This window comes from Homo sapiens, chromosome 1 (assembly GCF_000001405.40).
Source record: "Homo sapiens chromosome 1, GRCh38.p14 Primary Assembly".
Lineage (NCBI taxonomy): Eukaryota > Metazoa > Chordata > Mammalia > Primates > Hominidae > Homo > Homo sapiens.
Genome location: NC_000001.11, coordinates 107309424 through 107325571, shown reverse-complemented (window position 1 = coordinate 107325571; position 16148 = coordinate 107309424). Strand labels below are relative to the sequence as shown.

At 38.0% G+C, this 16148-nt stretch overlaps 1 protein-coding gene across 18 annotated transcripts in view; it reads right to left on the bottom strand.

Annotated features, from left to right (window-relative positions):
* Positions 1-16148, bottom strand: part of NTNG1 (netrin G1) — a 344836-nt gene that overhangs the window by 159352 nt on the left and 169336 nt on the right. For all 18 annotated transcript variants that reach the window (XM_017000683.3, NM_001312688.2, XM_047449449.1 and 15 more), the window contains exon 3: positions 650-1290. In XM_017000683.3, the coding sequence (XP_016856172.1) occupies positions 650-1290 (641 nt within the window). The remainder of the gene's footprint in view (positions 1-649; positions 1291-16148) is intronic.

Below are 16148 nucleotides of genomic sequence, written 5' to 3'. Positions count from 1 at the left end.
GTTTAATTAATGTGTTTAAACTCTGTCCATTTGTGATTAATCTACAAGATGAAGGGAGCCCAACTCAGGTCTATATTTTAAATGCTAGTATATATTTTTGATATAATAACATCCAAAAACATGAAAAGTAGAGCGTGTCCCAATTTAACAAATGTTTCCTACATGCTATTGATTCTGATTTAATAAATTTAAAGAAACATAACTCTAGTTTCCAGATTTTTTTGTGCAATATTACACAAAACATAAATTGACTGCTGTACCATGTTGAATCCCTGCTTTGCATTTGTAAACAATGGTATGTTGTATTTCTAGTTTTTCAGTTCGTTATAGGGCAAATGGTTTTGCTTCCCCTGGCTTCATTGCCTTAAAGACCTAAAGGACCTCCCGACTCAGGGAGTTACTTTTTAAAATTCACTTTTATTTAAATTCTGAAGAATCATGCCAGGTTCAGGGACAGCAAGTTTGGGATTACAAATTACTGCTGAGGATGAGGGATCTCAGAATGCCTTCAGAACCTACTTCTACAGTGGAGTTCCTGAAGAAAACGTTGCAGTAGAAATTGACAAATGTCACTTTACAGCTGTGAGACACTCTGGCATTTTCTTTGGACACACCCGTTCCCATTGAAGGCAGACAGATTTTCTCTTACCTTCCTCGCACCTTTATGTCTGAGATCGCGTAAAAGTAGCGTGCCAAGTGTAGCTCATCTACAAATATTTCCCCAACGGCTGGTCTTAACAGCCTTATCCTCAGGTCTGTGACTGTAAAGAAATCTCTGAGTTTCTTGGTTGTATCCAGCTGTCCGTAGAGGGAAGCCATATTGCGTAGGCGAGGTCCAGCAAAAAACGCGAACCTGTCTTTGATTTCAAAGTGGATTATTTTGCTATTTGTTGTATACCCTGTTGAGTACTCTTCTGTGCAAATGATTTCTAAGACCGTATGCTGTGATAAATCCTTCACGGATTTAGGATCCATGTGAAAAGCATCTAAGCAGTCTGTGGCATAATACTGATAGGGCTGCCATGTTCGTCCATAATCGAGAGACTTCTCCAGGATCATTTGGTCTGGACGCCCAGATTCAAAGGTAATAACTATGTTGTCTGTTAGCTCAATGGTTTTGCTCCAAGACAGAGTGATGTTAACCTGGAGAGGCTTGGGATACTCCTTCCAAGTGGCAGACTGCCAAAATGTGGAGGGATGTCTTCCTTCAAAATCAAACATCAGCTCAGGGGGGTGTGCCAGCTCAGGGGTACTCGCATCACACTCATTATTGCACATGTAGGGATTGCCCTATGGAAGAAGAACAAAAGAGCGTGCATCAAAACACTGGTTTGCCACAAGTCTTGCCATATTGCTGTTGCTCAGTAAGAGGCTAGAAAAGGAAAAAAAAAATCTGTTTTCAGTAATCATTTTTATTTGCCCTAACTGGATTCTCCTCTTTAATAGCTTTTAAAAAAAAAAAGCAATATGGTAATTTTCTTGTCTTGTTTCCTTCCATGTGCTTTAAGAAATGAAAACAGTTTATTTATCCCATATGTGTTAGACCCATAATGTGGTCACAGAAGCACGAAGGCACCGAGCAACTGTCTAACAGCTCAATACCTCCGCTTCCTCTTACAAAGATGCTATAGAAAAGCAAGGGAAATTCCTCCCTGCCTGAAGGACATTCTTTAAGAGTACACTTCTTTAAAAAGTCATTTTTCAAGCAAAGCTTTAGAATGAGCCATGAACCATAGATACCTGTGTTCTGTAGGGGAGACAATACCCCCATACAACATTCAGCCTTTTTTTTTGGCTTTCCCTGAAATCCGTCATACTTAACTGGGTCCTTGCTTCATAATGTCTGGTTTTACAACGTTTACTTTGTTCACCACCAATTATTAAAATGTGGTACCCTAAAGGCTCTGGGGCTTGGTCCAAATACCTGCCAGCCTATTAGGTAGAGATAAAAGGATTGTTCAGGAAAGTCTTGGGGCTGGGAGTGTGCTCCAAGTTATCAGGACAAGAAAACGTACTACTCAGTTAGGAGGCTGTTGCACATCAAACCACAGCCACTTGATGTGTTTGTTACTCTGTGCCTGCCCACAGGCAGTTCTTCATGGATGTTAGTTATTATTATTCTACCTTTAACAAATGCTACTTCCTTTACAGACATTCAAACAAGAAGCTAGAAATAAATCTCCTAGTTATATTACAAGTTACAACACTGCTTATGCTACACTAAATGGCTACTCTCAGCTTTCATCAGTAGATTCCATGGCAAATGACAAGTTACCAGATTTTTGTTGATTTTGTTTTTAAGAAAACAAGTAGTATCATTAGGACTTGACTATTCAGGTGTTTCTTATTCTGTACTCAGTTATTATGAGCATGGCTGGGTGAAAAGAATTGATCCTCGGACATTGTCCTTGGGCTTCCTTTTGTAATTACAATTAGGTTTCTTTCTTTCTTTCCTTTTTTTTTTTTTCCATATACTGTGAGCTTTTCATCATACCTGTAGGATACAGGAGCGAGGTCTCAGATAATGAATTTACACTTTAGACACTGACACTCAGTTACTAGCTGACTCCTATGAAATATAAGATGAACATGGGAGAATTGCTTTGGTCTCCCTAGAGGCAACTTTCTCCTACCTAGTCAGCTAATACTCTCACTCTCTCTTTCCCATTAATGTAACCGAATCCTAAAGTTGGCAACAGGTTTTGGAGATTCAAGTATAATTGTGATAGGGCAGGAGAAAGAAGAGAAGGTACATTATTTGAGGAACAGAACTGTTTTAAAAATACACTCAAGGAATCAGTGATAATGAAAATGTTTCTGTACTTCTCTCTCAAATTTCAATTCCCTAGTCCTGATCCCAGCGTCTGTGGCACTATTTATAGTATCCCCTTCAAAATGAGCCAGGGGAGGGGGGAAATAAGTTTCTGTTCCAGGTGGAATAAATCACCAAATTTATTATTATTTAAATTCTCTTAAGCATGCCAGAGAGCCAAATGCAAAGCTCTACAGACTGGCAAAGGCTTTTTATGGAGGGCTATAAATATTGTGGAATCTGTCAGGATTTATAAATTCTAAATATATGTAAATGCACATTTTACAGGAAGAGGTCAGATTTACACAAATCACACCTTCATTTGAAATTTACTGAAAAAATATGGTCACTTCAAAATCTGTCAGCATGTAGCCATCTGCACTATCATTAACTTGGATGCTGCCATCTTCCTCCTGAAAAAAGTGTCTTCATCTGAGGTCAGGGGTATGGAAACAAGGGGAAAGGCGCTGTGGGATCCACCAAAGTGAGTTATCAGATGTTTGTAGTAAGTTGTGTTGAAAGATAACATTTGTTTGCCTTCAGCACAGGTGTGCAGAGCTTCTCAGATAGGGATAGGGCACTGGGGCCACATGAGATGACACATTAGGCTGCTTCTGGAAATTGGTCAATACTAACAAACCTATTTTAAAAAATATGGTTGAAGAAATCTATGTAAAAGGCTCTCATGCCTATACTTAATATAAAGTCTTGGCAATAACCACCATTTAGTTAGCACTTGCGTGCTGGACACTACGTACATTTTCCTGGGTAATCCTTTTCATCCCTACCTTACAGAAGAGGAAATTGAGGCACAGAGGTGTTAAGTAATTTGTCCAAGGTCACATAATAAAGTCAGTAAGAGGCAGTGATGAGACTGGTGCCTCTTACCCCTTCCCTGGCTTGCTGAATTCCCAAGTCACTGGAGTTCCCTCTGTTGTAGCCCTGTTGTAGAAACAGGATTGGCTGGTAGAGAGGAAATGTCTAAGACCAAATAAGTTCAGGAAACACAGCCTAATCTTCTTGTCTTGGAGAGTCCTAATGAATGTTATCATAATCTGATATACCTTGAAATTAAGAACCTTGTTTAGCTTCACATAATACCTAGTTACATAGGTTTATGTGACCACGGAGTCTCTTTCTAGTTTAGTAACTCCTGTTCATATTCTACAGAAGTCGTATCCTGGAGGGCATCCTTAAAGATTCTCTGCTTTGTATCACTGGATATTGTAAACATGAGGAGGCCAAACAGCACTATACAACCCAGTTTTAGTTCTTTAATGAAGGCATAGCTACAGAAAGCACCAGGTCTGTTCTCAGTGGGCACCCTTCCATTGAGGCTGAGTGGATCAGCCAGCTCAGGGCAAATGTCTACATTTGTATCAAGTTCTTCATTGCTTGGCACAGATCTGGTGCTTCAGGCACCTAAAAAAATGAGAGTAAAGATTCATACATGCAACAATGTGTTATTGATTGCCATATTTAAGGCACTCAGCTTGGCTCTCAAGATACAGCAATAAACAAATCCAAGTCCTTGCTTCCTGTGGCACTTCCATCCTAGTTGGGGGACAGGCACTAAACAAACAAGCATAATGTGTTATAATGTTACACGATGACAACTTGTATGGAGAAAATAAAGCCAATTAAAGGAAGCAATGGTGATTGTAATTTTATTTTGGGAAGTCAGAGAAGGTCTCCCTGATAACATGACATTTGAGCTGATTGAGAACAATTCCCAATTTACACCGGAGATGATCAGAGGAAGTTGATCAGAATGACAGTTTCGTCCTTCATTTGACTCTACTCTTAGTGATATTTTCAGCAGCATAACAATTTATTGAAATCAATGGGTAAACAAATCATTTCAAATGAGAATCTACACCAAATGACTGTAGATACCAAAGAGGGGAAAAAATCAATTGTTCTCCTTATTTCATAACACTCGTGCTCTTTTAGGAGATTAGTGATTTGATGGCTATTAACATAACTTACTGAGATATGATGACATTGACAGAAAATTAAAAGAGGAAGCAGGAAAAAAAAAAGATTTCATTTTGGTCCCCTGCACTTCAGGTGAGAGAAAGGAAAAAAAAAAAAAAAAGATGAAAGGTGAAGAAGCCGTAAATCTTATCCTTCCCCAAAGAAAAAGCTGGAGGAGAGATTACAGGCTACAATATTTAGTGTAAATATTTCACAGGGCGTGATCTGTAATACTGTTATTACAGAGAATTATCAATATGAAAATAATTCCTGTTAAAGGGATTAGATTAATTAAATTTTCAGCTACTTCAACCCCACCCTAATCCTCTTTAATAACATCAACAATGAAATTTATATAAGAAAATGCAACTTTTTCTGACTTACAAAAACAAAGTACACTTCTTGCTGCTATATCTAACAGATTCAGGCATCAGGAAGTGTAAGTAATTATTTTGTGGCCAGCAGGCAGCCTTAAATAGATCTTAATTTAAGTCCCACAAGCAACATATCCTTAGCTGATTGTGGACAAAGCAGAAAATATTTATGACTGTGCTGATAATATTTACACCACTAACAAATGCCTAAATAATTAAACAGCTATTGCTGCTAAATATTTTTGTAACAATTAGAAGAAGATTGTGATGTTTAATTTCATTTTTAAAATGTTAATATTTTACCTCTGGGAGAATTGTAGTTATTAATTAGCAATTTGTAGCCAAAGTGGAATATTGCTATTCTTCCTTAATACGCTTTCAGAATTTAGAGAGATAAATACAATTTGAGGCATGCTTTTACTGTTTCTATTGATGGAAGGTGTCTTTCTTCCTTTCTTCTGGCAAAGTGACACTTTGAAAAGAACATCCTTTCACCTAAGATCTGCTAAGCCCTTCAGAGTTTTATATATATATATATATATAAACCTCAGGTAAGCGATATTAATGTAACACTTCCGGTTGCTATCATTTTGACTTTGCCTTTCCAAGCTTTACCTATGGGCAAACTATTGGAAACAACAGTTGAAAATGAAGAGAATTCTTACGCGAGATTTGCCACTGAACTGTAAGCTACATGCCAAGCAGACATGTACACAAGTGAATGTGAGACGCGTTTGGGTTAACACTTAAACGAATCATGAAAAAAGAATGACACAGAGATGTCCTGCACCCATTTGCATCTGGCTTATCCTTGCTTGTTTTATTGGTGACAGTCAAAAAAGACACAAAGGCAAGAAGCAGCATTCTGGAATGGCACTCCCAACCTGTTCCTGCTGTGACTGAGATAGATACCATTAGGGTGTTTCCAACGCAAGGCCTTTAAAGGGTGTAGAAATTGGTTGCAGAGCCTACTATTCGTTTCTCAGAGATTGAAACCATGAGAACCATGCTTTAACTGCAAGTTTGGGGCATCGTCTAGAAAGCTTCTGGGAGGCTAGTGACTGACTCCTTTATATCAGAGGTATAATTTTTGGTGGAGGGACTCCCCATCCCAGTTCCTTTTTGCCACTTCCCGGCCACTCCTCCTTGCCTCAAGTCCTTCTGCTCCCAAATTCTTGCTTGGCTATAGCATGGGAAGGCCCCTTCTTTGTGACTTTTCTGAAGACACTTAGACTATTCTGAGTCTGGGAGCTGATGTTCACAGGTCACGCTGAGGTGCCCCCTTCAGGTCTTATAGCTTAGTTACTGGCATTGGGGAGAGGCAGAGACAAGTCAGTACCAGAGGTAAGAACAATCTAAGATAGTGGACATGTCTTTCAGATTCAGAAGACTGAAAGATAAAGATCAGCACCACAAACATACTAACAAGCCCTGATGACCACAATTCTAGAGACAAACTGTATATCTTCAGACAGGAAGGTCCACAAGGCCATATGTTTCCAGTTGCCCACTGGCCCTCAGGACAAAAAGGGCAGTGATCTCTACTAATGGCCATGTAGTGCAATCTCATTTTGTAAGCTTCCTTGTTAACTGGTATGCTGGGTACCAACATGTGGTATGCATACAGCAACAGTACAGAGCAGTCCCCCTTTATTCTCTGGGGAAATGTTCCAAGACCCCCCATTGGATGCATGAAAGTGAGGATAGTATGAAATCTGATCGCTGTCAGTCGAAACGTTTCTGTTCATGTTTTCCACTCACAAATGTAATGCCTCTTCCCTCTTAACTAAGCACTTATCACACACTGTGGCCATAACTTTTGCAGTTTGAGGTGTGACAGCAAAACCGGCACAAATTTCTTTGTCTTTTTTTTTTTTGCAATTTCACAGATAGATTTGTTCTTACCATAGCTGTTAGCAACCTCAATATGATTTTTTTTCTTTCCTTGTTGAGAACTTTTTCCTTTTCAAAGGAAACACTTTACAGCTTCTCTTTGGCATATCCAAATTGCCAGCAACACTACCTCTGTGCTTTAGGGCCATTATTCAATAAAATAAGGGTTCTTTGAATACAAGCAGTGTGATACTATGACAATGGACCTGATAACCGAGATGGCTACTGACTAGTGGGTGGGTAACATCCAGAGTGTGGAGCTTCTGGACAAAAAGATGGGTCATGTCCCAGGCGGGACAGGTCTAAGTGGTGTGAGATTTTATCAAACTACTTATAGAGGCACACAATTTAAAACTTGTGAATTATTTTATCTCTGGAATTTTCCATTAAATATTTTCAGACTGTGGGATAACTGAAATTATGGGAATTAAAACTGTGGATAAAGTGGGACTACTACATCCTAAATACTATGGGACTGTCCCAACATTAGATAGTCTGAAACTGTTGTGACAAAAGCACCTATGCATCTGTCAGAACATGAGTCTCAAATTTTGGTTTGGAAAATATGGCCACCCTAAGAATAGTAGAGGATAAAGAGTTTTGTTTTTGTATAACTCTGGAGTTAAAAACTAACTGCTCCGTTTTCTAATGGAATCCTTTGTTCATCACAGAGATTCCCCGCTGGCATAGACACCAGCTTAGGGCCTGATTGAAGTTGCAGCTTGTTTCAATCTGCTCCCTGACAATACTAAAACCCTGTGGACTTTTTTACTCAGGAATAAAGACGGGAGGGCTTAACCTTTCTGCAACAAGGATACTGGAAGCCCTATCACAGATTATGGGCAATAATAGACACCTGTGTAAATCCCCACAGAGGATTATGGTTGGAATTTTCAAACTGGTGAAGGCTGAGGGGTCAAGAAGACCAAGTTTTTAAGAAGGAGCCAAATAAATTCCCAAGCCATAAGCCACAAAAACAGATTCCTATATAGCAATGTCAATTATTACTTTGCATGTACTGGACAAGAAATAAATACTAACAGAATCAAGTGGGGTTGAATATGAATGTCTGCAGAAAAGCTGTGTACTGAGGTAACATTATTGTAAGTGGTAGGGAGGTTGCTTTTTAAAAAATATTTTCTTTAAAAAATCACTAATAAGGGTTTCATAGAGTATTTCACCTTATAGATGGTCTTGAATTAGATCAGAGCACAGATTTTAAAAACGTTAATTACAAAAAAGCTAAAGTAGGCTGTTAGCATTTAAGTTAATGCAACTTGAGAAAAACAAGGGGAGTTAAAATATCATGGAGGTGGGAATGTTCTGAGTCCTGATTCCATCAGGTATCATGAGAGATAGTTTGAGCATTTTGATCCTGAAAGCTCTAATTTGATGTTCGAAAAGTTTTTTTCTTCTCCGCATGAGTATGCAAGTCCAAGACCTCTTTGAAGTCCATTTACTGAAGGCCATGAGTTTGGAGAGACTATGTTAAGACCAAAAGCATTCTCTGCTGAAGTGATCGCTTGATCTTGAGAGGCAGGCAGGACCTTCCTACGGTGGCACTTCCAATAGCATCTGGCTTCTTGCAGGTCTATCCTGCTTTCTCAGATTCCTTATTTCTTTCAAACTCTTGTGTTCCAAATTCGTTAGCTATTTATTGGATATCTACTGTGTTGAAAACATTGTGAAGAACATAACATAATACAAGAAGGTATTTGCAGTTTAGTGTGGAGATAAGATATATACAGGCAACAATCACCTGTTTCTCAAATGGGTTGCTCATGCGCCTAAAGAGAGGATTAGGTGTCCTTGAGGGTAAACTGAGTCATCAACAACACAATGCCATTTCCTGGAGCATCAGTTTCATCTCTTGGTACATAATTCAATGTAATTTTATATAAAAAACAGATATTTTATGGGGTAAAATGCAAAAACAATTTGCAAGCATTTGTAGGGAAACAAAGCCACAAAGACATTTCATGCATGGGGCAGATTTGGAGGTATGTGCTCAAACCCACCAAAGGAGAGTATGAAGAAGGAAAGAGAAGTCTAGGAGGCTTGGGAATAATTTACTGTATCCCACCACCATCTTGAATTTTCTACTTCATCCAAACCAACACAGGGTGGCTGAAGAAAAACTAGTCATTTTAAGTCTCAGAATTGTGAGTTTCACCATCCTGACATAAAATTCCTAGTGGAAAATATTTGCTTCACTCCACCCTATGGCCATCTGGGTGGTGTCTCCATATTCAGCACTTCTAGGTAGAAGATAGCACCTGGAACACCGATTGCTTTGTTTAGAAATATATTTTATTCTCATGATAACAGCATCTGGTGTGCATTGGAATCACCTAGGGCATAAGGGCAATGTTACTTCCTAGGCTCCAGCTTCAGAAATTCTAAATTTTTGGTTCTGAGTACAGGCACAGGAACTGGTATTTTTAAAGCAAGCACTCACAACTTAGGCGTTAGGGAAACACCTCTTTATTAATGACATCTTAATTTTCATGGCTTTCCTGAAAAAAGAAGTGAACTTTTGTTGATCTCCAGCTTCCAAGAAAGCTCTCCAGAACCTGAAAGAGTACTTTATCTATATTCCTATCTTTTATTTACTTACTCACTGATTCATTCATTCAATAAATAGTTATTGGATATGACAGACACTGTGCTGTATACTGGGTATAGTGTGGTAAATTAAACAGCTGAGTCCCTATATAGACTAAGTTCATTTACAGGTTAGTTGGAAAGGCAGCCCCTACAAAAGTAAACAATTATATAATTACATATAAACTGCAAAAGGAAATCACAGAGTTCTATGAAGGAAAAATAAGTTGAGACCCAGAAAGTAAGAAAGACTACACCTTGGGACTCAAGGCTGGGAGGGAGATCATTCTTGGCAAAGGGAGTAACAAATGCCAGGCCCTAAGTTGAGGTAGAACTTGGGGTTTCACGGAACTGATACAAAGTGATTGTTCCTGGAATGTAATGAGCTAGAGGGAAGTGAAGGGGATGAGGCTGGGGAAGAAGTCACAGAGGAGATCATGCATGAGCCTGAAGGAAATAGAGTATGTGAGATGGAAGAACTGATGTGTTGTAAGGGGAGGCCTGCCACAATTTGATTTACATTTTCAATGTTCTTTTTGCCTTCTGTGTGGATAGTGGATCCTAAGGGGGTAGGCAGCAGAAGCAGAGCAACCCGTAGGAGGTTTACTAGAGTCACTGAATGAGGCATGTTGGTGGCTTGATACGGGGTGCGAGGAGTGGAAATGGACAGAAGAGGATGGATGGAAGGTATATTTTAAAGAACAATCAATGGAGCTTTATATACCTCCTTAATATTTATGACAGGTCTAGATATGAGGTAAAGATGAAGAACAAGAAGTGATAAAAAGCAGGCTTCTGGAGTGACCAAGTAGGTGTTTGGTGGTACTTTTTACTGAGTTGGAAGGCCAGGTTTGGAGTTGTGGAGCGAGCAAGAGTTCAAGACTGGAAATGTTAAATTTGATATTCTTATGAGACATAATAGAAGTAAGCATATGTGATGCTTAGGATGTGTTCAACACTCTTCTAAATGTTTTGCTCATTTCTTCATAACAACACCGTGAGGGAGATATTGTTATTCACTTTGTTTACAGATAACGCAATCGAAGTACAAATCATTTAAGTAACTTGCTAAGTTATTACTTGCTAAATTTAATAAATTTGAGCTAGTAAGTCTCAAAAGTCAGGACACGAGTCCAGTCAATGAGTTAACAGTCAATGTTCTCAACCACTATGTTATACCACCTTTCTATACATTGAGATCTTCAAGTAAATGTGCGTTTAGACCTCAGCGGAGAGGCCAGGCTGCAGATCATATATTTATGAGACATTAGCTTACAGAGGTATTTAAAAGTGAGAATAGATAAGAATAATGGGGGAGAAAGTGTAGGGATAAAAGGGCAAAAACCTAGGACAGTGTCCTATGTTAACTCATATATGTAGGCAATACTCACTCATTTACTAGGCCCAAGGATGTTATTCACCAATACCTGACAAACCAGCTGTTAACTAGGTGTGTATCTCATTTTTATTTATTTATTTATTTATTTATTTATTTATTTATTTATTTATTTATTGAGACGGATTCTCCCTCTTTGCCCAGGCTGGAGTGCAGTGGTGCGATCTTGGCTCACTGCAACCTCTGCCTCCCGGGTTCAAGCGATTCGCCTGCCTCAGCCTCCCGAGTAGCTGGGAATACAGGCATGTGCCACCACACCCAGCTAATCTATTTTTAGTAGAGACGGGGTTTCACTATGTTGGCCAGGATGGTCTCGATCTCCTGAACTCATGACCAGCCTGCCTCGGCCTCCCAAAGTGCTGGGATTACAGGCATGAGCCACCACACCTGGCCTTCATTTTTTAAAGAGCAGATTTGAATGGGAGGATTCGAGGTCACCTGAGGGGTTAAAATAAGGAAAAACGTCGACTTTACTAAAGAATAATTTTTTAAAATTTGGGTTTGGGAGAAAATAAACTTTTCAGTAGATCACTTATTTATGATAAGAAAGAATATCATGTCTACTGTGGGGAAACAAAGGGCTTGCAGAGATAAAAGATAAACAAATGGTATATCAATTTTTTTTGGAATAGTGAATTTAATAACATGAGAGGAGCAGATTCCACTTAAAAGAATTATAAAAGAATCCACATTATCAGTGAAAGTCCAGTTGCAGTAAAGAAGAGTAAATGCAAGGACAGTTTGAAGAAAACATCAACAGGAGGGATTAATTTAGGACTGCAACCTTCATCTCCATTAGTTTTCCTAATCCTGTTTCACTATTTTTTTTAACCTCTCCATCATCTACTCCTCCTCACTTTGTTTTGCCTGTTTTCCTTCTTATTTTAGATTCTTAAAATCAATGTGCACCCGTGGTCTTCTCACCCTTTGGCCTCTTCCCTCCTAGCTCTACATAAAGTCCTTTATTGAGTTAATTCCCATTTACAGCTTCAACTATCACTTACACTTCGATGACTCTAAAATTCTGTCTTCAGATATGATTTCTCAGGTGAACCTCAGATCCATCTATTCAAGTACTTATTAGACATCATCTAACTGCTCCACAAGAATTTCAAACTCAACATACTGAAAAGTTAACTTTTCCTCTTTCCCTCCCTCTTCCTTCCTGAATAATTCACTCCTAAAGCTATTGGGTGGGTCCAAACGAGGCAGGTATCACTTGGAAATATTCCTGCCAAAGATGCATAATCAGAATCTAATCATGAGGAAATACCAGACAAATCTCAATTGAGGGGTATTCTATAAAATAACTGCCCTGTAGTATCTAACCATATCATAAAAATTTTGAGAAACAATTTCAGACTGATGGAGACTAAAGGGATCTGACAACTAATGCCCCCCAAAGTAGATCATTTTGCTACAAAATATATTACTGGGACAACTGGTGACACTGGTCAGGAGTCTGAAGATTATATGCTACTAAAGGATCCATATTAATTTCCTGACTTTGACTGTCAAATTGTAACTATGTAGGAGAATGCCTTTATTTGTAGGAGGTATTAAAGTATTAGCAGGCTATGAGCATCAGGTTGACAACTTACAGTCAAATGGCTCAGGAAAAAAAAAGGTATTTCTATTGTATGCATCTTTTCTATAAATGTGAGATTTGGAAAAAATGCTAAAGATTTTCATATAAAAAAGTGAATTTGTTATCATCTTTCTACCAAGCAGTAGTATATTACTATGCATTGCAGTGGTATGTAAAGATTAAGGTGCATAAAAAATGCCTGGTAAGTCCAGTCCCCACCCACCAGGAATTCTGTTTGAATAAACTGGTTCCTGTTGGACCCAGGAACCTGTATTTAGAAAGTACCTTAGATCATCTGCATGCAAGTAGCCTCTGGCCCACACTTCAATTCGCACTGGTATAGTGTTTGTTAAGAGGCATGGCTCTGGGTCAGATCTTCCTAAGTTTGAATTCCAGCTCTACCACTTAGCTACAGTGTAATTTTTGACAACCTTCTTCACATTGTGAGCCTTGACTTCTTGAAATTCAATATAATTAATGATGCTAATTTGAGATACAATTATATAATGCACGTTAAGTGCTTAGCATCTCCTTGGGTGTAGTCAGTGCTCAATAATTAGTAGTTAGCATTAAACCTACTCCCCCACCTGTGCTTCTTGACTCAGAGAGTAATACCAAATTCTTCCATTTCCTAAATAGGAAAGGTTGGAGTCATCTTATATTCCTTATTCTTCATCAATCTGTTTATCAAAGAAGTCTACAGATGAAATTTTTCACCGCAGCTTCATTCATATTGCCATTGCCTTCGTTAATTTTTTAAAAATATATTTCTTCTGAATTATCATTAATAGGCTCAAAATTATCTCCCGCCATATAGTATTGCCATCTTATAACCTATTTTCTGCATAGCTGCTAAAGTGATCTTTCTACAACCGAAATCTGACTGTATCATGTTCCCTTTTAAAGCTATTGAATGGATTTCTCACTACCCTTCGAGCGTACCATTCAAATTCTTTAGCATAGCATGTAAGATTCTTCAAGAATAGCCTCTGCAAGTCTCTGAACATACGTTTTAGTTTTTCACTCACTTGTGGTGTTCACACCTCATAAGTCGGTCATATCAGCCTATGAGTGTGTATATATGCACCATCATGCAATTCATCATATAAAATTGTGATTTTTTTTGTATCTCTCCTACTATAATTCTTTGAGATGAAGAACTGACACATAACAAGTGTGCAAACATTTTTAATGATTCAAGAAAAGTAAGAAAAGCAGAAAAGACAAAAAGCCAGGAAGAAGATAGGATAAATTAGGTAGGTTTGGAAGTGTGGGATAAGATGGAATGGATTTGCTCATAGGTTGGTCACTGGGAATTGACATAATCAAGCTTAAAGAACTAACCATTTCAATGAGTTGTATATGGAATTTGTATAATGTAATAAGCAATGTAGAAAAAAAAAGTCCAACTCCAAGTACAGAGTGCCTATTTGTGTGATTGATATAGTTACTGGGGTTTCAGGTGAGGTTAGAGGACAAAGACAAATGGCATGAGCTGCAATTATGTCCCAGTTCTTTCTTGCTGTTCATTTTTTCTTCATTTTTCTCCATCAGTCAAAGAAGTATTTCTCCTAGTGGCTTCAGAGCTGACCATCTCTTTCCCTAATCCTATCTTGCCTTATTTATCCAATCCACAGCATCCTTCTGCGTTCTCAGGAGGAGCTGAACATGAAGAATGTATTTGTTCTTGAGCAATTATGGAGAGCTGAATACAAACTGATGGAAAAAGCACTGAATGGCACGGTTGTAAATTTACAATGGTCATGCATGGAGGTGTCTCAGTCGGGAAAAGTCTTGAAAAAATTGTCAGATATAAGGTAGAAATAGGTGTAGAACAAGGAACAAAACTTTATTGTGCTGGAGAAGAGGGATATGCTCTTTGTTTATTTGCCACAGCTTCAGTGGCTAATTACAGAGATTCTGATAATTCTACCTGAGTTCCGAGGTTGATTCATTATAAGCTAATGAAACTTACCCCTCAGAGACACTCCATTACACAAGCTGCTTCTCAGGCCTTTTATGTAGGTTTGTATTGCTAGTCTTGGATTTATTTTTTTTTTAAAGAAGGCCCTCAGAACTGAAGAGGCAACAAGTTCATTAAACCTGGTCTTGTCACTGTTTGGGACATGGGTAGTGTATTTCAGGGCCCACTGAACTAAAACAACTCTATCTTCTTATTCCCTCTTTTCAATTAATTTCATTGTTCTTTCCCCCCCAAGATTTTCTATTTTCAGCATTTGCAATCTTGAGATATATATTCTCTAAATCCAATTTTCAAAATTGTGCTTGTCCAAGTTCATACCTGATATATAACATGCCAATGTTTCATTAAAATACAAGTATATTTTATTCAGATCAGCAGACACATAAATCTCTTGGTGTGTTACCCACAATAAATATGATCTTCACTTATCTGTAAGACTGGAATAGCTGTTGATCTATCAGATCCACCATCATGAACCAAAGTAAATTAAATTATATAATATATTCAGCATCTGTCATGTGCCAAGCACTATGTTAGATGTTGTAGGTTAGTTCAAAATAAGGCTGATTCTTCCCTATTAGCTACAATATACTAGCAAGACAAGATTGAGAAAGCTGTATCATTTTGAAACTAAGAAAATGTATTATAGAGGGCTACTTTGATAAATGGAAATAAAATAGCAGTTAGTAATATTCTAATGTGAAGACAACATGTGCAAAAATCTATTGTTAGAGAGATGAAAGTCAGAAAGTCATTATGAAAAATGTTGAGGAGGCAGAGTCTTGGTTTTGAAAAATGTGTCATATTTGCATAAGTGAACCACATTCTCTTTTTTGAAATGGAGAAGGAATCAATGACCATTCAACACCCTTATGGTTAGGAATTTTAAAAGGGGCTTTCTATTTGTCATTTCATTTAATTTTCATGGTTCCCTAGGAGTCGGGTATTATCCTAGGTTTACCTATGAATAAACTAAGGTCCAAAATGTCATGGAACCTAGTTAAAAGAAATGGTGGGAGTTTGTCTGTAAGGATGTAAAACAAACCTAATATTTGGGAGGCCAGGAGTAAGGCTGTGAGGTAGTAGGAGATAGGTTTAAATATAAAACAAGAAGTTGATTTTAGAGAGCATTAAAAGCTGGGTAGAAATGTTGGGTTTGATTAATTGGAGAGCTGAAAGCCATTAATGGTTTTTATAGCAGATGTCTCATACTTGGTTAACCTTCTTCATTAGTTTTCCAGAATCCTTTCTAGAGAAAACAAAAAGTTCAAGTTGAGTCCAATGTTGGAAGTCATCTCAAACAAGCGATGAAGCAGAATCAAAAGCAAGATTTGGTAAGAATGCCAGTAGTGGGCATACAAAGAATCCTGGACACATCTTATTCATTTTTGTATCCTTCAAAATTCCTGGCAGAGAGTAGATAGTCAATAAAAGATGAGCAAACAAGTGAATGTAAAACAAACTATTTTATAATTAATTCTTCTGTTTAACAAAATATGAAACTGCTCAAAAATTAAAGA